Source organism: Homo sapiens, chromosome 10 (genome assembly GCF_000001405.40).
Source record: "Homo sapiens chromosome 10, GRCh38.p14 Primary Assembly".
NCBI classification, from domain to species: Eukaryota; Metazoa; Chordata; class Mammalia; order Primates; family Hominidae; genus Homo; species Homo sapiens.
This window is the reverse complement of record NC_000010.11, coordinates 25902484-25919459: the sequence shown is the minus strand read 5'-3', so window position 1 is coordinate 25919459 and position 16976 is coordinate 25902484. Positions and strand designations below refer to the sequence as shown.

General features: G+C 41.2%; 1 long non-coding RNA gene across 1 annotated transcript; it reads right to left on the bottom strand.

Annotated features, from left to right (window-relative positions):
* Nucleotides 1–7427: 7427 nt before the first annotated feature.
* LOC105376460 (uncharacterized) lies at nucleotides 7428–13527 on the bottom strand. The gene is made up of 3 exons (XR_930761.2): nucleotides 13254–13527; nucleotides 12093–12302; nucleotides 7428–7714 (listed from the first exon to the last, which is right to left on the bottom strand). It is a non-coding gene; the product is annotated as an uncharacterized LOC105376460 (long non-coding RNA).
* Between the last annotated feature and the right edge of the window lie 3449 nt (nucleotides 13528–16976).

Here is a 16976-nt window from a genome sequence, read left to right as displayed (position 1 = left end):
AAAGTCTTCAAATTAGGGCGAGGCACAGTAGCTCACGCCTGTAATCCTAGCACTTTGGGCGGCCGAGGCTTGTGGATCATCTGAGGTCAGGAGTTTGAGACCAGCCTGGCTAACATGGTGAAACCCCATCTCTACTAAAAATACAAAAAAAAAAAAAAAAAAAAGAAAATTAGCACAAAGGCTGCAGTGAGCCGAGATCACACCACTGCACTCCAGCCTGGGCGACAGCGAGACTCCGTCTCAAAATAAATAAATAAATAAATAAATAAATAAATGTCTTCAAATTAAAAAGAGATAGTATTGCTTTTGATGAGTGTGATATGGAAGATTATTTCCATGGTTCATTATACTCACCTGGAGAACTACCTAAGCAAATGTTACCTGACTCTCTGGCTCATAGAGGGAAACCCAATTCCAGGACAGTCCTGGAAATTCAGATACAAACTCTGCTCACCCCCACCAAGGGATTGACTCTGGTTAATGGTGACCCTGGAGAGTCTGACAACTCTAAAAGTGATCCTTGATCACACAGATCCTAAAAGGATCAAATTTGATTAAAGTGCTTCTGAAATGCAGGTCTTGAAAAGCCTCAGAATACAAGAACAGGAATGTTTTCTTGCTGTTCTCACGAAATATCTCCAAAATTACACATACATACATACATACATACACAGAAATATAGGCAATCCAGAAGATTTTATTTATAAAATGAATTTCATTGTGTGTATATACACATATAGAGAGAGGTATATATAGGTGTATATATATGTATATATAGGTATGTGTACCTCTATATACCTATATATACATACTGAGATGATTCCTATTTCACTCAATGTCACAGATATTTTTAGAATAAATGAATGATCAAGGAGAAAGATTAGCCAAGGAAGACTTTCAAACAGTCTGATGATAAAGGAAATAAGTGAGGCCAGGTGTGGTGGCTCATGCTTGTAATCTCAGCACTTTGGGAGGCCTAGGTGGGTGGGTCACCTGAGGCCAGGAGTTCAATACAAGCCTGCCCAAGATGGTGAAACCCCATATCTACTAAAAAATACAAAAATTAGCCGTGTGTGGTGGCACACACCTGTAATCCCAGCTACTCGAGAGGCTGAGGCAGGAAGAATGGTTTGAACCTGGGATGTGGAGGTTGCAGTGAGCCAAGATTGCGCCACTGCACTCCAGCCTGGGCAACAGAGGGAGACTCTGCCTCCAAAAAGAAAAAAAAAAAAAAAGTGAGAGGTAGCAACAAAGTGAGAGGTAGCAACATCAGAAAGGCTTTTTTTGTGGGGCTTGTAGATATCAGAGCAAGAGAAAGGCATCTAGAAGAGAAGCAACTGCAGATCAAGCACTGATCTATCTTTGAAAAAAATAGTGTCTATTAAGCACGCATATTATGCCCTGTGCTACTAGTTTTTCATGTTTTTTTAGAACAACACATGAGGCACATGAACTTTCTTACTTCCTTCACTGGTACCTTTCAAACAGCTCTAGTCCCATTGAATTAGAATTTTACTTTTATTTGTGTGTCTCCTCAAAGGCAGATCTCATCATTTATTCATTTTTGTGTCCTTGGTACTTTAATACAGGATAGAAGTTCTGATTGGTGAATGAATAAGTGACTGGATAAAGAGAAAGGGAGAAGAGGAAGAAGCAATGAAGCGAATCCAGGGGAAGGCAAACAGAGCAAGCTCATGAACACATAGGCGCTGATAGCCTGGAAAGGTAGTATTCATCTTCAGTGACACAGATGTAAGACCTAGAGAGTAAATATATGGGAAAACTTTGAAATGGGGAGATGAACATAAAGCGAAGGCAGGCCAGTGCAGCACAGTGCCATTCAGTACAGTAAGTGGGTACACACTGAGAGAGTGTGTATATATGCACAGATGTGGGCAGGGCCAGGGTCTCCTGGCAAAGAGGAGTTAGTAACAAGGGAAGAGTGAAGACAATGTGGCTGCCCGTGAAGAAAGTGTGATGGGCAGTAACCGGAGTAATCTCAATCACTGGGGCTCAAATCTTTTCTCCCACTATAATTGGCAATTCAAGAATTGGAATAGAAATGCCATAAAGAGGATATTACACGTGATTAGAAATTGGCAAAGTGAAAAGTGCAGACACCAAGGAAGGGACCAAGTGGAGGTTGGAGACGAGTGTACTGGGGAATGGCAGGCTGTGGAGACCAGTCTGGGGAGATGGGGGGCCAAAACATCAACCAACGCTAACCCAGATTTCCTTCCATCCTTTCTAATTTGGTTCTTTTGTGTGCCTGTGTGATTGGCCAGTGCTAGAAACTCTCAGGTGTGTGCTCTTTCCTAAAAGCAGCCAGATCCGCTTTCATAACCTAGCTGATTAATTTCCAGATGGTGTTTTATCCTAAGGAGTCAACATTCATTGCAGAAACTGCTATCCTTAACCCAAACCACAGGCTATGCAGAGGCAGAACAAATCTAGCAGCAGGAGGGAGGCTGACTCCCAGGATGTGTGTGTGGCCAAGCACTATCCCTTCATCAAATCACCACCATCTGGCTCTCAAGATTGATCTGTGGTCCCCAGGTTTCCTTAGCAATAGGAAAAACCAACAGCGAGGAGATTTCTGGTCTCCCTTCTGGAGTGAAGTACACAGAAAAACATAACAAATATAAAGTTCAACTAAATCCACTCAGTGAAAACTATTATAGTTCCCACTAGAGACTGTGAACCGTCCACTTACAATACTAATACATCCACAGAGAAGGCACTGCAAATCGTGACCAGCCAGCATGAGTGGCTCACATATATTGACATTAATATGCAATATATATTTGTCTTGTAAGAGTTAAAGAAAAAAGAGGGAAACACAAAAAACAGCTCAACAGTCAAAGACAGGTTTATTTTGGAGAATAAACCTGAGAGGGGCTTCTGGCCAGTTTCAGTTAGGTGTGCTGTCTCTTACAGACAAGAGTAGTTAAGGGTTTTAGGGTGAGAGAGCTCATCACAGGCTTGGAATGTTTCTGTGTGGGGGAGAAATTTATTGCGGGGTTGGAATGTCTCTGTTTGGAGGGGAGGTTATCTTGAGGCTGACATCTCTCTGGCCAGAAGGGAGGTTATCTCAGGGTGGGTATGTCTCTGGTCGGGGAGGGGTTTATTTTAGGGTTGGAATGTTTCTGGTTGGAGATGTCATTTGTGGTTTATGGTCATGCTGGCCTTAACCATTAGGCTGATGCCCTTTGGATTTAGGCGGTTTTTGATCAAGGGTAACTTTAAAATGGCCGTGCTTGTCCAAGGTGGTGATGCTCCTGTTCTGTTATGTCTGAGGTGACATATTATTTCTTCCACTTCTGCGATTGAAAACTGTCTTCCAGGTTCTTAAACACTTTGCACATTTAATATCTGACATCTGAGTCTTTCTGGAAGTAAATATAAGAAATTACTGCACTTGGCACCTTGATCCAGGATACTATAGCTTACTTTTTTCTAAACCGTTTTTCTTTTCTTTCTTTTCTCTTTTTTTTTTTCAAGACAGGGTCTGGCTCTGTTGCCTAGGCTGGAGGGCAGTAGCAGGATCATAGCTCACTGCAGGCTCAACCTCCGAGGCTCAAGCGATCCTCCCACCTCAACCTCCCTAGTAGCTGGGACTACAGGTGCATGCAAAACCATTTTTGTGCTGACAGTTGCCTGACTCAAATACATTTGATACCACTGCTAGCAATGCATGAGCAACTGAGCAAAGCAAAATGCATCTGATCAGAGGCCATTTTCCGTTAGCAATTCACCTTGCACAACTCTCAATGTCTCATTTTCTTTTCCCTTTTCTTTAGGTTTTATTCATATTTTTCTTTAAAATGTTTTGGCACCTTAGTAACCCCATAATTGTTCTCAAACAGCATATATTTATTTATCTCTTATTAATATGACTCGTGTCTTCAGCACTGTGTTAGTTTCTGTGATGAACAGAAACGAAGTAGATGAAACGGCTCTTGCCTTCAAGTAGTTAATATTTATCTGTTATATTTTGAAGAGCGTGATAGAAGAACTTAATAACTGCCATTTCAGTGATTTATAGTTAAGTGCTTTCTTGTACATTTTTTTTTTCCTTCTAACAGTCTTATGGGGAGCTCTTGATGGAACCAAGTTTCAAATGCAGTTGTTTGGATTCTAAATCCTTTAATCTTTTTAGTATACCACAGATAAATTGGGAAAAAATCATGCAATTTCCAGACTCAGGTTTCACTCTGGGTTTAGCACTTATTGTTGATCATGGGTACACAAATTCTGTTTCTTTGTTTGAAAAATGAAAAGAATAAATCCAGTCCTAACATTTTTTTTTGCTTTTTTCTTTTATTGTGAAGACCCAATAAAAGAGCATTTATAAAACCATTCTGACAGTCACAATATAAACAGGAAACATCATTATATACCATGGTTTTCTTATTTTATATAGAGGGAACACCGAATGTTTGTTTACATACCAAGAAATAAAATGGAAACTTGGCAGATACTCTCCCCAAGAGACTTCTGCATCATTTCCTTGTTTTTTGCTTCTGGAATAGAAGGGCACAACATTTTCTTCTCCAAGACCTCATACTTATACCAGAAATAGGAGACTTGCTTGGTGGCAGGTATGGTTGCTTCCTGCTAATATGCCATTAGGGCAAAAGACATTGCATAACACATACGTGCACATCCCAGACATACAGTGTCAAGGAATATTCAGGAAGAAAATACATGTAAGTGCTGCATTCTCATTATTGAGTGAAGAATAGAGTTTTAGCTCAATTCTTAGTTTTTTTGAGTGACAGGTTTGTAAGTCACACGCTTACCAAATTGAAAGGAAAGGGAGTTATTTTTAAACTACAGTAGTAAGATATTCTGAAGCCACTGTTGGGCTCTATAATTCTTGCAAAATATTTCATTTAAAACATTTTCTTTTCAAAAGGCCGATTTTCTGAAAATACAATTACCCATAAGTACAGGAATGCATCAGTTTATTGTGCTTTGCTTTTCTGTACTTTGCAGAGGTTGCATTTATTACAAATTGAAGGTTTGTGGCAACCCAGTGTCAAGCAAGTCTATTGGCACCATATTTTCAACAGCATGTGCTCACATCTTGTCTCTGTGTCACATTTTGGTAATTCTCAAGATATTTCAAGCTTTTTCATTATTATTATGCCTCTTATGGTCATGTATAATCAGTTTCCTTTGATGTTACTGTCGCAGTTGTTTTGGGGTTTGCCCACATAAGACAGCAAACTTAATCAATAAATGTTGTGTGTGTTCTGACTGCTCTACCAACCAGCTGTTCCCCCATCTTTCTCCTTCTCATTGGGTTTCCTTATTTTCTGAGACAAAACAACACTGACAGTTTGCTGCTTATGTCTGCTCCCTGTGCCCAGGGTTCAGCCACCTACAGAGAGGACTGGAGCAGGAATTTGTAAGCAATTATAATCTAAGTCCAATTAGCTATAAACTACATTTATTTGTATTATTTTACTTCATTTTATTTATATATGTATATCATTTTACTTTATATATACATATATTACATATTTACACATATATTTACATATATGTACATATAAAGTTAAATAACATACATATGCAAATATGCAAATGTATATATTTACATATAAATATGTAAATGTATGTGTGTACATGTATTTATACATATATGTGTATGTATATTTATAGCCCAGGCTGGTCTCAAACTCCTAGGCTAAAGCAATCCTTCCACCTCAACTTCCCAAAGTGCTGGGATTACAGGTGTGAGCCACTGTGTCTGAATTTTCTTTTAATATAAAGTCCCAATTACAGTTTTATTTATCAGTTAGCAGCTTGTTTTTGTCATTTACCATAAAGTTTTGCTCCTAATTTTAAGAGAAATAAACCTGAAAGTCTGTTATATACCAGTTACCCTCCATTAGGGTCTTTTATTACCATGTGCCAAGCAGCATCCTAGGAATTTTACATGAATAGACATCTTGAAATAACATTTAAAGCTCAGAGAGATTATGCAATTTGCAGAGTTGAGCGAAGATTCAAACCTAGGACTTGTTTAACCATTGTACGAGGCCACCTCTCAATGTTAAGGGTAATAGACCACTGCTCCCTTATATGCTGTCTTCTACAGCCTCTGCTGTTTAAATACATTTACATCCTACTATAACTTTCATTTTTGTTGTAAAAAGAAGATTGTGCTACCTGTTTTTGGAAACATGCTGCCACTGTTTGGAATGTTGGGAAACTTTGCCACATTGCCAGACTTAAATTCCTTTGACACCCAGGAAGATTTGCTTTTACAAAGCTTCCACTATCAGACTCTGTCATGCATCAAAGATTCATCATGACCTTTGACATCTAGCTAGTAGATTGGACATCTAGCTTGGAAATGAGCTGGCATCCACTACAAAGCCTGGTTCTGCAGCCTTCACAGAAACACGAAATGGGGGTCCCCTCTTGCACTGTCGCTAGTTCCTCTGCTGGGAAACATCTCATGAGTAGAATCACAGCAGGGAGCCTGCTCTGGAACTGCAGCATCAGCCATAGCACAGCAGCCTGTGATAGAAAGACATGGTAGTTGGAAATGATGTGATCCTTGTCCCATATAAAATGGGAGGGCAGATTATGTGGACAAGAATTTAGAACATATTCAGTTTAAATGAAACCATAATTGACATAGGCTACTGAAAAATATAATGTACTTGCACAATTTATTTTTGGAGGAATCTGTAAAAATTGCACACACACACACTCTCATGCAGCGATTTCTTTTCAAAGTGCTCTAGCGACAATAATTGCAAACGGAGGCTGGGCATGGTGGCTTATGCCTATAATCCCAGCACTTTGGGAAGCCGAGGTGGTTGGATCACTTGAGGTTAGGAGTTCAAGACCAGCCTGGCCAACATGGCAAAACCCTGTCTCTACTAAAAATACAAAAATTAGCCGAGCGTGGTGACACACTCCTGCAGTCCCAGCTACTCAGGAAGCTGAGGCAGGAGAATCGCTTGAACATGGGACGGGAAGGTTGCAGTGAGCCAAGATTGTACCACTGCACTCCAGCCTGGATGATAGAGTGAGACTCTGTCTGAAAAAAAAAAAAAAGAATTGCAAATGGAAGAATGAGAATTTAAAACTGAGGTAGGTGGCTGGGCATTGTGGCTTGCCTGTAGTCCCAGCTCAAGAGGCTGAGGAAGAAGAATCCCTTGAGCCCAGAGTTCAAGGCTGCAGTGAGCTGTGATTGCACGACTGCACTCCAGCCTTGGTGACAGAGTGAAACTCCATCTCTTAAATACATAAATACATAAAGTTATGGAGGTGAGCTTAGAATAACCACAGAGATAGAATGCAGACAGTTTGAATTAGTGAGAATTTTTTTCTTGTTCATTTTATTGTTTTCAGCCATCAGTATGTTATTTGCACTCATGTGTGAAGACTTGTACACGGTATTTCTTGGGTGCAGACATTGAAGCTGGAGGTAGAGGTTCTGCAGAGTGCATAGGCGAGCCTCTTTCCCCAGAGCTTTACTGGGTTTGCATTTCCCTATGTCCTCTAGCTCTACCTTTAGCTCTCATGTTTAACTTTGATCTCAGGAAGGGCTCAATACTCAGGGTTATTTGTATACTGCAGAGAAAAAGCCTCCAAAGAATCCCGGATTGGGATTCTGTCAAAGAATCCTTGGGCAGCAGCTCCTGGGTCTGTCCCCTGAGCATTCTCCAACACCACGTCACATGCACATCTGGATGGGATGACAGCACAGTGAAAAATCAAGGGCCATTGTTTCACATTCATGGAATCAACTCTTTTCTACCTCTCTTGCTTTCCACTTTTGCTAAATCTTTTAGAAAGCTATATTTACATATGATTTTCCATATGGAAAAATTAGCCAACAAACAAACAAAAACTTCATTACACATTAGCTCTAAACTATTGTTTTAATAGCAGCAGCATTTCACATTTACATACCAGTAAAAAATAGAAAACATCATTATCTCAAGGAATATTGTATTGAACAAAGTCATTTCTGGTCAGCAGATGATCCCAAGTTACATATTTGAAGGATTCAGTGATGACAAACACTTGAACAATCCTGTACAACATTACTGTCTGTGTTAGTCTGTTCTCACACTGCTGATAAAGACATACCCAAGACTGGGAAATTTATAAGGAAAAAGAGGTTTAATGGATTCACAGTTCCACATGGCTGGGGAGGCTTCACAGCCATGGCAGAAGGTGAAGGAGGAGCAAAGGTACATCTTACATGGCAGCAGGCAAGAAACTGTGTGCAGGGTAACTCCCATTTATAAAACCATCAGATCTCATGAGACTTATTTGCTATCACAAAAATAGCATGGGAAAAATCCATGATTCAATTACCTCCCATCAGGTCCCTTCCACGATATGTGGGGATTATAGGAGCTAAAATTTCAAGATGATATTTGGGTGGGGACACAGCCAAATCATATCATTCCAACCCTGGCCCCTCCCAAACCTCATATCTTCACATTTCAAAACCAATCATGCCTTCCCAACAGTCCCTCAAAGTCTTAACTCATTTCAGCATTAACTCAAAAGTCCACAGTCCTAAGTCACGTCTGAGACAAGGCAAGACCTTTCCATCTATGGGCCTGTAAAATGAAAACCAAGTTAGTTACTTCCTAGATACAATGAGGATACAGGAATATATCTGTTCCAAATGGGAGAATCTGACCAAAATGAGGGAGCTACAAGCCCCAAGCAAGTCCTAAATCTGGCAGGGCAGTCAAATCGTGAAGCCCCAAAATAATATCCTTTGACTTCATGTCTCACATCCAGGTCATGCTGATGTAAGAGGTGGGTTCCCATGGTCTTGGGCAGCCCTGCCCCTGTGGCCTTGCAGGGTACAGCCCCCACTCCTGGCTGCTTTCATGGGCTGGTGTTGAGTGTCTGTTGCTTTTCCATGTGCATAGTGCAAGCTGTCAGTGGATCTACCATTCTGGGGTCTGGAGGATGGTGGCTCTTTTCTCACAGCTCCACTAGGCAGTGCCCCAGTGATGACTCTGTGTGGGGGCTCCCACCCCACGTTTCCTTTCTGCACTTCCCTAGCAGAGGTTCTCTGTGAGGACTTTGCCCCGCAGCACACTTCTGCCTGGACATCCAGGCATTTCCATACATCATCTGAAATCTAGGCAGAGGTTCCCAAACCTCAATTCTTGACTTCTGTGCACCTACAGGCCCAGCACCATGTGTAAGCCGCAAAGGCTTAGGGCTCGCACCCTCTGAAGCAATGGCCTGAGCTGCATGTTGGCCCCTTTTAGCCATGGCTGCAGTGGCTGGGACACAGGGCACCAAGTCCTAAGGCTGCATACAGCAGCGAGGCCCTGGCCCAAGTAACCATTTTTTCCTCCTAGGCCTATGAACCTGTGATGAAAGGAGATGCTGTGAAGGTCTGTGACATGCCCTGAAGACATTTCTGTGATTGTCTTGGTGATTAACATTCTGCAGCTTGTTACTTATGCAAATTTCTGCAGCCTGCTTGAATTTTTCCCAGAAAATGGGGTTTTCTTTTCTATCACATCATCAGGCTGCCAATTTTCCAAACTTTTGTGCTCTGCTTTCTCTTCAATGCTTTGCTGCTTAGAAATCTCTTCTGTTGGCTACCCTAAATCATCTCTCTCAAGTTCAAAGTTCCACAGATCTCTGGGGCAAAGGCAAAATGCCACTAGTCTCTTTGCATAGCAAGAGTAACCTTTACTGCTGTTTCCAACAGGTTCCTCATCTCCATCTGAGACTTCCTCAACCTGGACTTTATTGTCCATATCACTATCAGCATTTTGGTCAAAGCCATTCAACAAGTCTCCAGGAATTCCAAACTTTCCTACATCTTCCTGTCTTCTGAACTCTCCAAGTCTCTAGGAAGTTCCAAACTTTCCCACATCTTCCTGTCTTCTTCTGAGCCCTCCAGACTGTTCCAATCTTTGCCCTTACACAGTTCCAAAGCTGCTTCCATGTTTTTGGGTATCCTTATACCAGCACACCATTCTACCAGTACCAATTTACTGCATTAGTCCATTCTCACGCTGCTAATAAAGACATAGCTGAGACTAGGTAGTTTATAAAGAAAAAGAGATTTAATGGACTCACAGTTAGTTCTACATGGCTGGGGAGGCCTCCCAATCATGGCAGAAGGTGAAGGAGGAGCAAAGGTACATCTTACATGGGAGCAAACAAGAGAGTATATGTAGCGAAACTGCCCTTTCTAAAACTATCAGATCTCATGAGACTTACTCAATATCATGAGAACAGCACAGGAAAAACTCGCTCCCATGATTCAATTACCTCCCACGGGGTCCCTCCCATGACACATGGGGATTATGGGAGCTATAATTCAAGATGAGATTTGGGTGGGAACACAGCCAAACCATATCACTGTCTCTCCAGTCCAAAATATAATGTCATCATATACATCATTTTAAAAAATCCATTTCCACATCAAATTAGACATGGGATTTTTTAAACTAAAACATCCATGAGTGTTTATCTTTCATCTGGACTCCACACAGAAAGAAACTATTATTTTTACTGAAAAAGCTCTCAAACTCCTCCCATGATCAAGGGAGGAGGTGCACTGAGTAAATTCAGGAGCCAGCCAGAACAGAGTGCTGATCTTCCAACAAAGACTAGGCTGACAGGAAATCTACAAAGACAAAGATCTTCGGTGACAGATTTTGGATGTATCGTCATCACTCTCTAGTAAACAAGCGTGAAACTAAAATAAAATTCTAGGCCTCCTCAACAGAATAAATGGGCCCCCTCTTGACCAAGAGGACCCCAAAGAAACCTGAAAAACTGGTTCAGGCCATGACAGGAAGGAGGAGCAAAACATGCCTCATTCTGGCCTCTGCCCTTTGGAGTTCAGGAACAACTGACCAACATTAGAATCAAAACAGAGATCTTAAGACTAACAAAACAGACTTTTTGTAACAATAGGACACCAAATTCCAATCTGACTCTGGTATAGCATCATATGACAGATAGCAGGCAAAATATTTACCCTCAAAATGTATTTCTTTGACATACTTTGAAAGGGCTCTGCAAAAACATCTCTTATGGGGGAAATGTCTGTTCTGTAGAGAATATCCTTCCCTTACTAGGTCTTTTCTGGGGAGTCTGAAATTTTTTAGAGTCTGATAAGAGATATTTCCCATCTATTTTCCCTGAAGCCTGCTACCTAGAGTCTTCCACAGTCACCCTTATCTAAATTACTCAAGCCTTTTTTTTTTTTTTTTCCCAAATTCAACTCTTTAGGCAGAGCTTAACTCTTTTGACCAATTGCCAATTAGGAAATCTTTGAATCTACCTATGACCTGAAAGATGTCCCCTACCTCCCTTCAAGATGTCCTGCCCTTCTGGGCTGAACCAATGTATAACTTCCGTGTATTGATTTATGTCTTTGCCTGTAACTTCTGTCTCCCTAAAATGTATGAAACCATGCTGTAACTTAACCACCTTAGACACATGCTCTCAGGACCTCCTCAGGCTGTGCCATGGGCCATGGCCCTTAACCTTGGGAAAAGAGACCTCTAAATTGATTTAGACCTGTCTCAGATACTTTTTGGTTTACACAAGTAAGGGCACTAGAACCATCTGTGATAATAAGTCAAAGGTTGAATATCCTAACTCAGACCAGACAATAGGGACAAGAGCAAAGTAGAATATCCAGAGAAAATAAAGCCAGCATTTGAACTTCTCCCTCAAGAAGCAATGGTATCTTCTCTACTTTTTGTCTATAACTCCCACCCTATAAACATATTTAAGGGAAGTCTTGGAGAGAGTTACTAGAGGCAGGAAGTCCCTGGCGTGTCCTAGAAGTGACTATTCAGCTCTCCCGGGCATATTGGAAAGCCAGCAGGACAGCTTACCAGAAGCCTCTTTGCATGAGGCACTGAGAAATATGCTAGTAGAGAGCTTCTCCTAAGGGAAAAATGAGTCGTGACAAGCTTGACCCAGAAACAAAGCCTTAGTCATCACTATGGAGCACAGAGCAGAACCTGTCACTCAAATGTGTCCCTGCACCTTGACTGAATCCAAGGACAGGAGAGGGGGCTGTATGTGAAGCAATTAAACAGCTGTTGTACCAGAAGCTGAGCATTTCCATGAGGGCAGCGCAGATCTGATGCTCTTTAACTGTACTTGCATGAGATTGAGGTGCCTGTTGTGCCACAGAACACTATACAGTCCAGGCCCCTTGAGAGCTCCTGAGTGTCTGTGGTGGTGCAGGAACAAGACGGCAGAAGCACGATGGTGCCATGAGACAATCATCAGGGATGATTTGATCGGCAGTGTGCCTGGGAAGACAGAATGTAGGCCCCAAAGAGTCACATAAAGGATTCCTGGGGGACAATGGGAATTGTCACTTACAATGATGTTCTTTTCTGAAATATATATATTTATATATTTATTTACATATTATTTATAATATCTATCTATCTATCTATCTATCTATCTATCTATCTATCTATCTATCTATCTTCCAGAGGGTCAGGAAGGGACAAGACATTTGTGCAGAATTGAAAGACACTAAGGAATAGAGAAAGGAAGCAGATGGTAGTTTCAGTTTCAAGATGGGTCAGGGGTCAGCAGGACATTGTGCCATTATCATTTCAAACCTTTCAAATCTATATATTTACTAATTTTTTTCTTTCCCTTAATTAAATTTGGTCAATACATTATAGTCAGATGCCTTAAATCTAGGAAGCACCAGGCTGTCCAATAAGATGTATTTGCTAAATTTTTAGGTAGGGGATCAGAATAAAATCAATATTATGATTCCCTAGTTAGTAACTTGGGTCTTCTAAGCTGTGTGCAGCTCTCGAAATTTCCAGTCCATTTCCTCTTTCAGGAAGAGCTAGATTAGTAGAAACTTGGTCAGGATCGCTTCCTGGAGCTTGGGGTGCAGGATACAACAGCAACAGCATAAAAGCAGAGGAAGGCGTGTACAGGAATTCAAGGTGTGACTGGAGGAAACACTCTAAAACCAAATGACCAATTCACAATACCCTCACCAAGCAGAAATAAAGGATGGGTCAGAGAAACCAGGTTAAGGTGCAAAGAAGTCAGACAGCCTAGAGACTTTCTGGAGCCCCTCTGTGGGGGCTTTTAGCTGTGCTCAGGGCATTTAAAGGACATGAAACAAAATCCATGACTCTTATGATTCCATGTTGCATTACTTCCCGGGGGCTGCCATAACAAAGTGCCACAGACTGCGTGGCTTAAACAACAGAAATTTATTTTCTCACTGTGCTGGAAGTTTGAAGCCTGAGATCAGGGTGTTTGGCAAGGTTGGTTTCTTCTAAGGCCTCTCTCTTTGGCTTCTAGATGGCTGTCTTTTCTCTTGCGTGTCTTCACATGGTCTTCCCTCTGTGTGTGGCTGTGTCCCAATCTCCTCTTTTTATAAGCACACAATTTGTATTAGATTAGGGCCCACATCTATGACCTCCTTTTAACTTTACCTCTTTAAAGATTCTATTTCCAAATACAATCCCATTCTGAAGTTAGGATGGCAACATCTGATTTTGGGGATTGGGGCCCAATTCAGCTCATAACACATGTTTTTAAAATACAGTTGTCTCACCTTATCCATGGAGGATACATTCCAAGACCCCCCAGTGAATGCCTGAAACCACAGATAGTACTGAACCCTATATATACTGTGATTTTTCCTATATATGCATACCTATGATAAAGTTTAATGTATAAATTAGGCACAGTAAGAGAAAAACAACAATAACTACTAATAAAATAGAACAATTATAGCAACATACTGTAACAAAAGTCAAGTGCATGTGATCTCTGTCTCGCTCTCAACGTATGTTACTATATGTAGTATTCTTGCACTGAAGTTGACCATGGGGAAGCTTTGGAGTGCAAAACCACAGTCAGGAGGGCAACTGTAATTATATCAAAGTATGTATCTATGATTAGTCTCTTCCTAATTAATTAGAATGAAGTGGTCCGTCTTACCTTTTTATCTGTACTGGGAAGAAGCCATGGAGTGTAGAAAGGAGATAGATGATAGTTTCGGTTTCAAGATGGGTCAGCAGGAGACTGTGCCATCCACATTTTCAAAACTGCCACCTATGGTTAGGGGAGAGCTGGACAGTAGACTCCCTTGTTCACCCTTTCCCCAAAGGACTCCTTTCAAGCCAAGGAAAAGGGGAATGGTAGAAAAAAAGTGGCACCAAATCACTTTAATCAATGTCTTAAGAAGGAGACTGTATTAGTCTGTTTTCATGCTGCTGATAAAGACATACCTGAGATTGTATAATTTATAAAGAAAAAGAGGTTTAATGGACTCACAGTTCCCCATGGCTGGGGAGGCCTCACAATCAAGAGCAAGGGACATCTTACATGGCAACAGGAAAGAGAGAAATGAGAGCCAACAGAAAGGGGAAACCCCTTATAAAACCATCAGATCTTGTGAGACGTATTCACTACCATGAGAACAGTATGGGGAAAACCACCCCCATGATTCAATTATCTCCCACTGGGTCCCTCCCATAATACTAATACATAGGAATTATGGAAACTACAATTCAAGATGAGATTTACATGGGGACACAGCCAGACCATATTAGAGACATTATCTTTTCCACCTTAAGATGGAGATCTGGCTGCAGGAATATTACTGGCAGTGATCTTGGGAACAACATCTGTAGGGAAGTAAAGAAAGTAGGATTGGATAGAGGCAGGAGCTGAACCCAATGCAGTCAATGTAAATGCAACATAGGCCTTAATTGTCCAACAGATCTCCGGAGCTGGAATGGCCCTTTGGATTTGTGCTGTCACCTTATGCAAGAGGCTGGATTTCCTCCACCCCCAACATGCCCAGGGCAGCTCTTGAATACGGACCATCCCCTGAGCTGGGACAAGACCTTAGCTCTCTTCAACAGTGCTCTAGCTGCTGGGGGTTGAGGGCCTCAGTTCCAAAGAGGGGGATCTGAGAGATACAGCATGGCATTCACTGCAGTCAACTTCTAATCTAAATTATACAGAAAAAAAGCAGCTGGGGCCCATGAGAAGTCAGGCCCTCAGATGACAATTACATACTTGAAATTAATCTTTGCCCATGATCAATAAAGAACAAGTCCTATGAAACATGCTGCTGTAATGTTGGTTTCAAACCACTGTATCCTCTAAAATAGGAGAAAGATTTTTAAAAAGTGACTCATGTGATCCATTGGCCCTGAAAGTGTCAATTAACTGCAATGAGCAAAATTCCTGCATTTACATTTGCCTCTTTCACATGACCTCTTTCTAGGCAACAGATAATTCTTCAACAATTGATCCATAAAAGATCAAATACTTCTAACCCTTTAAGCATACATATAAACATACAAAAATGTGTTGTCTTTTTTCATCTCTGACTTTTCAGTAATGAGTGAAAATAAATTATTATATATCTAGGGCATTTTAACGATGGAAATTTACAAGATTGTTTTATCCAATGACCCAATTTCTTACATCAAATATTTACTGAACATCTTCTCTATGCCCAGCACAGTGCATTGTATTGAGCACTGCAAGTGAAAAAATGGAAAAGACAGATATGGCCCCAGCCTTCAAGTTATTTACAACCTTTGGGAGAGACAGACACACGAAAAAAATGAAAAACTAATAAAATACAAGTTATTTTATGTGCTGTTAAGACACAATGTGGATCTAGAGAATGACTGAGGTGAGGAGGTCATCTGCTTCAGTTGGTGTACTGGGAAGGCCTCTCTGAGCAATTGACCTTGAAATTCTGGCTTGAAGGTCAGAAAGGAATCAGACATTTATGCCAAAATGGAAGAGTGTTCCAGGCAGAGAGAACAATTTGTGCACAGGCTGTGAGGTGGAAAGGAGCTTGGCTTGTTCAAGGGACTGAAATATAGTCAGGGAGGGTGTAGGAGGTGGTGTTAGGGAGTATTGGGAACCCAATTGTGCAGGGGTTTGGAGGCCCTGGAAAGGTGTTTGCATCTTACTTGAAGTACAATGAGAAGTCACCGAAGGGTTTCCAGTTGGGAAGAGAGATGTGATCTAATTTCTATTTTAAGAAGGAAGTTCTGGTTTTGTGTGGTTAGAGGGGACTCTGAATGAAAGCAGGGAGAAGATTTAGGAAGACGAAGCTAAATAAAAATATAAAATCCAGGGAGAGATGATGATGAGATTATAATGACTGAAATTAGATAGACAGTGGCCAGCCAGTAAGGGAAAGGGAAATATTTACATTGACTCTGAAATATTTGGCTTGAGCAACTGGGTGGATGGTATTCCATTTATGGAGATGGGGAAGACTGGGCATAGAATAAAAGGTTTGAGTAGCAGGATTGGGAGGGTGAATCAGGCGTATATTTTTCTGATTCTTTCTCTTCCTCTTTTCTCTTACCATCTCCATCTGTATGCCTATACATACTTTCACAGAAGGTAGACGTGAATTATATGTAACACAACAAATGTATTCATAATATAAAAACAATCATGACAATGATAATCTTATCAAGCGTTTTCCACATAGACCAGAGACTAGGCTAGTTGCTGTATATACACTATTTCTTTTCATTTTCACTATAATCCCAAGGGTCTATTCCCTCTTTTCTATGAGGAAACCAAAGCTCCAGAGTTTAAGTCACTTGCACAAAGTCACATTACTTATCTGCCTGGGTATTGTCAGGCCTCTGAGCCCAAGCTAAGCCATCATATCCCCTGTGACCTGCACATACACATCCAGATGGCCGGTTCCTGCCTTAACTGATGACATTCCACCACAAACGAAGTGAAAATGGCCTGTTCCTGCCTTAACTGATGACATTATCTTGTGAAATTCCTTCTCCTGGCTCATCCTGGCTCAAAAGCTCCCCTACTGAGCATCTTGTGACCCCTACTCCTGCCCGCCAGAGAACAACCCCCCCTTTGACTATAATTTTCCTTTACCTACCCAAATCTTATAAAATGGACCCACCCCTATCTCCCTTCGTTGACTC